Here is an 11,189-nt window from a genome sequence, read left to right on the forward strand (position 1 = left end):
TTAGGGAGGAGTCCTCTTTTTCTATTGTTTGGAATAGTTTCAGTAGGAATGGTACCAGCTCCTCTTTGTACCTCTGGTAGAATTCGGCTGTGAATCCGTCTGTTCCTGGGCTTTTCTTGGTTGGTAGACTATTAATTACTACCTCAATTTCAGAACTTGTTATTGGTCTATTCAGGGATTCTACTTCTTCCTGGTTTAGTCTTGAGAGAGTGTATGTATCCAGGAATTTATTCATTTGTTCTAGATTTTTCTAGTTTATTTGTGTAGAGGTGTTTATAGTATTCTCCAATGGTAGTTTGTATTTCTGTGGGATCAGTGGTGATATCCCCTTTATCATTTTTCATTGTGTCTCTTGAATTCTTCTCTCTTTTCTTCTTTATTAGTCTGGCTAACGGTCTATCTATTTTGATAATCTTTTCAGAAAGCCAGCTAATAGAACCAGTGGCCTTATACAAAGGCTGGAATGTAACAAAAGCCCACCAAGAATTTTGCCCAGGCCTTTCCTGGGCCTTGAAGGATGACAGGATAATGAAGGAATTCTTAACAGGACCTGTTTAGGATTAAACAAGTTCTATTGAGGGTTTGAATAAACTCCTCAGACCTCTACAAACAAGTTTATTGGGAGTCTGAAGGAACTCCCCAAACCTTTATGATTTAGCAGGAGACAAGATAAGTGTAATCACCCCTGGCACCTGGACCCATTTAGATTAGGTACATTTACTGAGGCTTCAGAGGAAGGTCTTCAGGACTCAGATCTAAGTTATAGATTAGAAGAAGTTAGACTTTTGTCTTTAGATGAATGCACACTTACACGTAAACATATAGCTTAGAAGGAATGTAAGCTCTAAAAACTTTGTAATTTTGAGTTGGCCTGGCAATATTTTCCAGGCCTTCTCCCTCTACCTGGTTACAGAAATAAACTCCCTTCTTCCCCAGTTCATCTGCTTCTCATTATTGGGCTGCGAGAATAAGCAGCATGACCCTCGATTTGGTCTGGGAACACAAGGGCTGGAGAAGATGGATACTACAGCTCAAGGAAGGAAAGAATTCACACTTCTGCTGCCTTTTATTTCTATTCAGTTCCTCAACAGATTGGATGATTCTCATCTATACTGGGGAGGGTGATTTTCTTTACTAAGTCTACTGATTCAAAAGCCAATCTCTTTTGGAAACATTCTCATAGACATAGCCAAAAATAATTTCTTATCAGCTATCTGAGCATCCCTTAGCCCAGTCAAGTTAACACATAAAACTAACCATCACACCACTTAATTTTAAAATAATATATCTTGTTTGGTATTATTTTAATTTAGCAGCTAGAGATATCATCTAATTTTCTCCTACTAAGGAAGACAAAGGTTTTGTTTGCTCGGTGTCCTCTGTGCTAATCATTGCTGTATCCTTCTCTTTGCCTGAGCTGCAAAATGTATCCCAGTAAGGTTAAACACATCAAGGACTTTATCTAATATTTTCTTGAAGATCTCTCTCATGGAGTCCTTCTTTCCTGGGTTCCCTTTGGGCAGCTGCATGCCAGGCATAATGGCCTTCTTTTCTTTTCATCACTGTCTACTTTGGGGGCTCCCTGTATTGTGGATATCATGCTTTACTGTTTATTATTTTTATCTGCCTGTATGTGCAGAGTGAGAGGATGTGTTAGTCACACTGCTGATAAAGACATACCTCAGAATAGGTAAATTATAAAGAAAAAGAAGTTTAATGGACTCACAGTTCCACATGGCTGGGGAAGCCTCACAATCATGGCAGAAGATGAAAGGCACATCTTACATGGTGGCAGACAAGAAAGAATGAGAACCAAGCAAATGGGGAAACCCCTAATAAAACCATCAGATCTTGTGAGACTTATTCACTGCCACAGGAACAGTATGTGGAAAACCATGCTCATGATTTAATTATTTCCCACTGGGTCCCTCCCACAACATTGAGAATTATGGGAGCTAGAATTTAAGATGAGATTTGGGTGGGGACACAGCCAAACCATACCAGAGGCCACGGGCAATAAATTCATTGAGCTCTTGTGTGTCTGAGAGTGTAGTCATTCCTCCCTCAGACTTGATCTACAGTTTGGTTGAGAGTATAATTCCAATTAGAATTCATTTTCCCCAGGACTGAGAAGCATTTTTATGTCGTCTTCTAACTGCCAATGTTGCTACTGAGAAGCTTGATGCTATTCTAATTCCTGCTCATACATGACCTGCTATTTTTTTCCTTGTCTAGCAGTTTTCAAAATTCTTTCTTTAATGCTAATGTTCTGCATTTTCCTGATGATAGGTCTTAGTGTGGGTCTTTTTCTTTTATTCTTCTATATGAGAAGCGGGCCCTTTTAATCTGGAAAAGTACGGCCTTCGATTAAAAGAAATTATTTGTTCTCTGAAGTATTGATTGGAAAATGTGTTGAAAAATCTAGATTCCACTTGCGATACTTTCATAACCTAATCTCAGCATTGAAATTCTATCTATTGGCCCTATTCAATTTGTTAGAGGCCAGCCAATAAATCTGGCTTACATTCAAGGGAAGAAGATTACACAAGCATCTGAGTATGAGGTGGGGGGTCAACAGGCTGCCCTTAGAGACTGCTGACTACATCTTACTTAAAAATAGACAAGAGTCATAGTCTCTTCACTTCATTTGCTTATCAAGAGAATAAACTGTGTTACCTGGTGGCAATATTGTGCCTCAAATCTCATGTAAAGGATTTTCCTGGGGGTCTTTTATAAGAAGAGACCCTTTGTAGGGAGAAATACTCAGTTTTTTTCTATTTCCGTTGTAATCTACAACACATTTTGGGGGGAAGCAAATAGTCAAAATATGCATGTATAAAATATGGTGAAAATTCTGACAGTTTACATAGTTATGAAAGAGATGTTTTCTGTTATTCCCCCAGAACAACAGCTACAACTATTCTATTAGATGACCTCAGCCTACAAACAGTATTAATAAGAAAAACCACTACTAGGAAAATTAAGGTAAAAATTAGGGTAATTAATAATAATTAATTTGGACAAAATATTCATTTGCTTCAGAATTAAGGTGCATAAGGATAAAAGATTACTTCTCCAAAATGATACAAATCAATGAGTCAAAATTTTCCTTCATTTTACCAACAGAGATGTTAATTTTAAAAGTGATTACTCAAACTCAGTTGCAGTTACCTCATTGCTCAAAGAAAAGCCCTAAAACCCAGAAAACTAAAACTAAGGTGTTGTGTTTGAGGCTGTTTCTATAACTGCATTACTTCCAGTGGAGAGAAAAATCAGGTAAATTATTATGTATTTAACACAATCTGGGTGGTTAATTGAGTTTTTCTCACTTTTAAATTGATTGTTGCAACTACAGCACAACTAGCTTTCTTCTCTGAGTTTCCTATATGACCGACTAATTATTAAAAGTCCCCCAACTCTGGACACAAGACATTTTGAGACTTTGGATTTAAATGGGTAATTAAACAGATTATCTAACCACCAGTTGTGTGTTTGTGTGTGTTTTATAAATGTGCTGCACTTTATATTAGTCTTCTTACAAAAAATATTGTAAGTTGGCATTGATTATTACATGCAATATGTGAGCTATTTTCAGCTCAGCTAAAGGTGAGCAAATGTGACATTTATTTGAGTTAGAAATTGGTTGCTCATTATGGGACACTATCCCTGTCATTGCCAATAGCCCAGTGCCCATGATCAAATTCCACTCACCAAATTTGAAAAAAATGACCATTCTTGCAAGCAGCTTTATGGTACAAGGGATATTGATGCCACTATTAAGTTCAGCTTTTCTTATGTTCTAATGGAGTACCTCATTATTCATTGGTGTATTTTCAAACCAATGCTGAAATATTATTCTAAAATACAAATGAGTTAAAGATATATATGTGTCTTTTCTTTATCCAGTCTATCATTCACGAGCATTTGGGTTGGTTCCAAGTCTTTTGCTGTTGTGAATAGTGCTGCAATAAACATACATGTGCATGTGTCTTTATAGTAGAATAATTTATAATCCTTTGGGTATATACTCAGTAATGGAATTGCTGGGTCAAATGGTATTTCTGGTTCTAGATCCTTGAGGAATTGCCACACTGTCTTCCACAATGGTTGAACTAATTTACACTGCTACCAACAGTGTTATTGGAATACTATGCAGCCATAAAAAAGGATGAGTTCATGTCCCTTGCAGGGACATGGATGAAGCTGGAAACCATCATTCTCAGCAAACTAACACAGGAACAGAACACCAAACACCACATGTTCTCACTCATAAGTGGGAGTTAAACAATGAGAACATGTGGACACAGGGAGGGAAACATTACATACCAGGGCCTGTGAGAAGGTTGTGGGGGCTAGGGGAAGGATAGTATTAGGAGAAATATCTAATGTAGATGACGGGTTGATGGGTGCAGCAAACCACTATGGCACATGTATACCTATGTAACAAACCTACACGTTCTGCACATGTATCCCAGAATTTAAAGTATAATAAAAAAAAGTATGTGTGTGTGTATATATATATGTATGTATGTATATGTATATATGTAATTACTTAAAAGAATAAAATTTGTATGTTTAAAAGACAGGCATTGTCCCAAGTCATATTATGTGTCTCCCACCATACAAGACACAATGAGGGAAGGAACAGTGGTAGAAATTATAAGCCAAAAATTCACCATTAAAACACAACAAACACAAGAGAATTCCATAGTAATATAAGCAATTCAATGTCTATTTCCCACATTCATATTCCTTTAGACTGTGAAACCTTGGAAAAACAATTCCTTTGCTATTCTGTGCATCACCAGTGCCTACCACAGTACCTGGAATTTAATAAGTGCTCAAAAGATAGCCAATAGATTGATAAATAACTTAATCAGTGAATTAGTAAATAAATCTTTAAATGAAAGAGATGCAAGGTACAGAGTGCTATGGGAGATAAACGGAGGAAGATAATTCTATAGGGTAGTGAGATGAAGAAACTATGTAAGAGATGGGGGTTACCCAAGCTTTGAAATATTAGAAATATTATTTTCATTGACTACAAAGAAGACAGGAATGAAATTAGCTTGGAGAAAATACCCTTCACTGTCTTGTCCAAATGGTCTTGAAGTCCTAGTCTTTCATGATTTTGTGATCTAATCAGTTCCTTTATAATAAACACAAATAATTGGTGTAGTATAATGGTTAAGATTATGGAATTTGGGGCCAGATGGCTTGGACTGGATTGAAATCTTGCCTTTCCATTTTCTAGCTGTTTGAGTATAACCAGCTTATTTAATTCTTCCTCAATTTTGTCATCTGTATTCTGGAAATACTAACAGAACTCACCAACAGGTTGGCGTAAGAATTAAACGATGAAGCATATGAAAGGGCTTACAGCAGCATCTAGCAAACAGTGAGTACTGAATAGGCATTGGCCATTTTTGGCAGAGACAGCCAGCTCTCCACCAAAATCTGGGCACCTCTTTCCATGCTACAGTGTTGTGACTACAAATGGGGTACACAGTGAAAGATCACAGTTTCCAGCCTTTCTGCATCTCAGTGTGGCCAAGTGACTATTTCTCACTTATGGAATGTGAGTGGAAGTTAGTTGGTTCCTTCCAGGACAGGGCATGAAGAAAGCAAATGCGTCTTCTCCAGGCTCTCTTTTGTTTCTTCTCCCAGATGACGGGGCCCAGCCATAACAAAAATAATTAAACCATGCAATTCATTAAATAATTAAAATATTCATTACACAATAAGGCCCAGAATTATTTACCACTAATAAGAATTAGTAAAAACACTCTCTACCATATTATTAGGGAAACTTCTGAGTTTTCCTCAGGATCACCTTCCACTGGAAATGACCAATGGAATAAAGCTTAGGTGTCTCCTGGCTTTCCTTTCTTACTGAGCAAGATGGGACACAAATGTCAGTGTTTATTTGTGTGCCAGAGTAAGTCTTAAAGTCCACACAACTAGAGAAACACATTCAGTGACAGTCATGGTAAGACAACAAGAATCACAGGACTTTTTCATGAGATGGGGACTTGCTTTGAAAATATTATAACTTTACAAAAACTTGGATTTGTTCTGACCAAAACAGGATATCCTCCAAGCATCCTCCAAGAAAGCTTATCACATAACCAAACAATAAAAAAGTCTCCTATGGTTGGTCAGATCTTAAAGAATACAGATGTATGTCAGGGCTGCCAGCATAAAGTGTCACAGACTGGGCAACTTAAACAACAGAAATTAATTTTCTCACATTTCTAGAGGATGGAAGTCCAAAACTAAGGTGTTAGCAGAATTGTTTTCTTCTGAGGCCCTCTCCTTGGTTTGGAGATGGGTGTATTCTACCTGTGTCTTCATATGGTCATCCCTCTGCACAAGTCTGTGTTGTAACCTCCTCTTCTGATAAAGATACCAGAATCCAGATCCAATACCAGGTTATATTGGATTAGGACTCACTGTAATGATTTTATTTGAATTTAGTTGATTCTTTAAATACCCTATCTCCAAATACAGTCAGGTTCCAAGGACAAGAGATTAGGACTTCAACAGATGAATTTGGGAGTGGGGAGTGGGGGTTGGGAGACCTAGAAATAGGCAAATTCAAAAAATCAACGTACTGCCTCAATCGATAATATTATCTCCAAAATTGCTGATATCCTTCTACTATGTTTTAGACAGTAATGTACCTAATCATCCTCCTTCAGAGTCAGCTAGGGAACTATCACTATCTCTCAATTGTGCCAGTATCTAAATTTATTTTCTAGCTAACATGTCTATTTAAAAAATGCCCTTTTAAGCCCCTTTTAGAAATTGTGAATGCAACCGATAACCTCAAAATAGTGACATTTCTTTGCCAGGGAAAACCTTTGCATAAGTATTCCTGGAACTCACAGAAGTTTCACCTGTCATACTTGACAATATTAATTTTTTTTCTGCCTTAATGAAGGAAGTTGTACATGTCAAGAGGTTTCTTTGCTTTGTTCTGAAATCACAGACATCCTAGAGTCCTAGAAGTGTTATCTACTTCCTTCAAAGTGTGTTATTTCATCTGAGTGAGGTTTTGAATAACAGCCTCTTCAGATGGTTTTGGTTAGCAGAGGATGCAGAATACCAAGATGTCTTCTGCACAGATGTTCTCTGACTTACAAGAGAATTAGTCTTGAGGGGCTTGCTTGAAGTTTGGGCAGAAGTTGCATGTTTTTATGAGAAAAGTAAATCATATTCTAGGACACTCTGAAGGGGTGAAGTCCATTTATGTCTTTGCACAGTTGGCAGCTATGTGAGCACTTAAGAATGAGATAAATCATTCAATTGGAAGCCGTGTAGTCACTTTATGGGTGCTCCTGGCCAACTCTATACGTTTGGCCAGCTCACCACATTGGAAGAGATTAGAGTCAGAAATGGTTGAAAACCTCCCAGTGCTGGAGGAAGCATTTCAGTAGAATGAAGTTGGAAAATGATAAAATCAAGTTCATTTTTTTAGAAGTCTATAGGCACTTGGAAATATTATAAACTTCTGCTGAAAATTACTTCTGCTAGATGGAAAAAGTTTTCTAATTTTTTTCCTGAAAACACAGGTAACAATCAATGATGAAATGCCTAAAAAGATTTCTTCATTGAGTTGAGGACACAGGAAGTGAAATCATGAATTCAACCCCCAAAGAATCTCAAAAATATTCAGTGTTTCAAGAGATAAATTATCCTCCTATAACAAAGAGTATAATGAGAATAAACATTTGGTTTCAGTCAGGGTTTTTGGCACTTATTCCTACAAAAATCAACATCAAAATCAAATGGATATCAAATTTGACCTGCATATTGCTACTTCAACATGCACTCTGTGTCTGAATGTCTCATTAAAATCAAACTAAATGAAACTGGTATTAGCACAATTTAGATCTCTTTCAACTATTTTTCCAAAAAGTTGGCATAACTTTTGTAAGAAAAAATGAGAGTGAAAGAATTACAATTCATAAAAAGTATTTCTAATCTTAATCACGAAATAAAATCTCAATTTATTGCTCTATAAATTTTGTTTCAGGGAGCAGAACTTGGTCCTAATCAAACTGTCAAGTACAGCCATCTGGACTACAGAGTAATATGGGCCAGCGGCTGTTATGTGTCTCCCATTTCCCCGTTTTGGAGCTAGAGTGTTTACTGCATTCATCCTACCCCTGTGCAGTACAGTATAATGGATGGGTGAAGGGCAGTAAAATTGCTTCTTTAATTCACTACATTTTTTAAATTAAGAGGAACTGTGACCAAAGAATCAAACCCAAGGAGCCTTATCTACAAGTGGACCTGATTTAGATGATGAAATCCTTGGCACAAAGCCTTAGACTCATACCCTAATCTTAGTGGACAAGACTTTGGGAAATTTAGGGGAGGGAGAGAGCATATTTTACGAGTGGGAAAATAAAACCAATTTGTGGCCAGAGGGCAGAATATAGTGGTTTTCTCAAACATGCCAAAATTTGTTGACCTTCCCATATAGAGAGGACGAATGCCTGCTTCTTTCAGGACATTCACTCTGGAGGAAGCCAGCTACTGTATAAGATGCCAAGTATCCTGAGAGTACCTATAAAGGCCAAAGGTAGGCATTCTGCAGCACAGCACAGCTGAGTCACCAGCCAATGGCCAAGAACAATCACTAGTTAGTTAGGTGAGCTATCTTGAAAGTCCAGTCTTGTTAAACATTTCAATGTCTCACATCTGACTTCAACTACATAAAAATCTCCAAGTAAAAACAGTCTTTCCCTAATTCCTGACTCACGAAATCATCCATAAAATAAAATGATTCGTTTACGCCACTTAGCTTTAAGGTAATTTTAAACAAAGTATTAGTAACTTTAACAGCAAACCACAGAAGTGAACTCTGGCAAATTTGAAAAGAAAGATAAATTTATTGGAGCAATAAAATGTGGTTCATAGTGTCAAATGCACAGATGTTAGGGTGTGTTCTTGGATGCATGTATCAGAAACTACTCAGCAGTCTCATCTGAGTCCTTCAACTGGAGTGAATGATTACCAGAAAATAAATTTTGTTATTATGTTTGCCTCCCCCAATTCAAGTTTAAAGTCTTCAGTTGGCCAAGCTTTTGGCCATTGTCAACCATTTGGACAGGGAAAGGAACAGTATTTTGATTTGTAATCCCAATGTTGCAGTTACCTATTGCCATTATAATGGTGTATACAGCAATAAGTAGTAAAAACTTACTACTGCATTACTGCTCGTGATCAGCTAGGGAGCTCTGCTAATCTTAGTTGAAATTGCTCATATATCTAGGGGTCAGATGGAGTTGGATGGTCTGTGATAACCTCAGCTTTCTGAATCGCTGCTTCATGTGTCCCTCATCTTGCATCAGACTAGCCCAGCCATGTTCTCACAGTGAAAACAGAGGCACAAGAGAAATGGGGAAATTCCCAAGGTCTCTTGAGACTAAAACCCAGAAGTGGTACGTACCTTCACCCCTACTACATTCTTGAGGGCAAACTCACAATCAAGGGATAGGGAAAATATACTCAATTGCTTCTTTAAGTGTATCTGTTAAGTCACAAGTTGAAGGGCATGGATACAGAAAAGAGTAAAATGCTGAGGTCATCAACACCAATTCCCACCCTCACCAAGGCTGCACTCACTGGGGGAAGGAACTTGTCAATGGGAATTGAAATTACCGAAGAGGAGATATAAGTTAATGTTGAGAAGCCAATTACAACTATAAAGTAAATTTACAATAACATTTTGTGCATGTGTAAGTGTATTTAGGTATTTTTTTAGTAAGAAGTATAAAGTTTTCATCACATTCTTTTCTCAGTTCTAGACTTGGAAAATTGCCTTTCTTCATGGCTCCAATTCTGGTGGCTCCAAGTCAGAAGTCTGCGTGTGAAGACCACTGCCATGGCTGTGCTTATTGATGGAAAATAGCAGCCATGAAGGAACGCTAGCTGCAAATGAGTCTAGAAAATATATGGTTCTTCTTTTACCTTTCCAGCCTCTGGGGTAGACTAAGGTACACAACTCACCATTGTTATTGTCCTGATTATATCAGGTTTTCCCAAGGGAAGCAGGGTGCGGTATAGCCTTATATGCCTGAGGGTGGAGGTTGTGGAAGCTATAAAGGCAAGGGGAAGGTACGATTTTCTAAGAGAACAGGATGGCTTTCTACAGATCCCACATGGCAAGAAAAACATCACCACCACCTTAGAAAAAAGAGTAGAACACACGTTTGTGTCTCACTTCATCTCTGAGTAACATTAAGCATATTTAACCTCACTAAAATACTGGTACTATCCTCAAAGATGTTGGTGAAAAGCTAATGAGATGATGGATATGAAAGCAATTTTTGCAATAATAAAAACGCTACTGAATTCCATTAAGGATCTGAATTTCCAGAGGCAGAGAATATGTCCAGTTCTGTTATTTCCATGCATGGTGCCTGGCCTAGAATTATATGTCAACACATGTTTGCAAATCATACCAACCAGAAGGCACAATTCTAATGTGAATAACAATGTTTAGAAGTCTGAGGATTGAGGAAGAGGAGGAAAGGGGAAAAAAGATGTTATTTTCCAAAAGTCATAACAAAGGAGAGACCTACTTGGCTTCCATGGAAAACTAGACTTCATCTTAACTACAGGAATATTTCTAGGGATTCAATAGCCCTTCCAATGAAGAGTTCTAAAAAATCAGAATATTATTGGCTTTTAAATTTCAGTCACTATTCAAATACTTAAGATTCTTATTCTATGTCTATGCGTTCATTTATTTCATAAGTTTCTGAACCTCATCATCATAAATGACAACTGCAATACCTTTAGAATCAACAAGGCAGTCATATTATCAGTGGATTCATTTGCTGTTTTAAAAGCTGTTATCTGCATCTGAAAGATACCAAAGAATCCCATAAGAGGCAAGGCAATTTTCCTATTGTATATTTTTTTCTAGAATAAGACAACATTCCAAATACAGGGTAGTAAATGGAATGAAGCAAACACTTGCTGAATCACTACTATTTCAGGGACTCTGCTGAGCACTGTACATAAGTTATCCTCATCAACAGGCCTGGGTAGAGTCACACTATCACAGTTACAGCTGTCATCCCTTCTCTCTGAACTGCAAGGTTCTCCTCTCTAAAAAAACGAAAGCTACTGAACCATTCCATAGGGCTATTAAGATAATGTGTACAAAGGTA

The 11,189-nt window shown here is 37.5% G+C and overlaps 1 annotated feature.

Moving 5' to 3' along the window:
* Nucleotides 9,187-10,386: an enhancer, noted in NCBI's record as "MED14-independent group 3 enhancer chr4:22205027-22206226 (GRCh37/hg19 assembly coordinates)". NCBI's record gives its function as "activates an origin of replication core promoter dependent on BRD2, BRD4, P300/CBP and CDK7 cofactors, and independent of MED14, by STARR-seq in HCT116 cells {active_cell/tissue: HCT116}" and the evidence as "EXISTENCE:reporter gene assay evidence [ECO:0000049][PMID:35650434]".

The sequence above is a fragment of the Homo sapiens genome, chromosome 4 (genome assembly GCF_000001405.40).
Source record: "Homo sapiens chromosome 4, GRCh38.p14 Primary Assembly".
Taxonomy (NCBI): domain Eukaryota; kingdom Metazoa; phylum Chordata; class Mammalia; order Primates; family Hominidae; genus Homo; species Homo sapiens.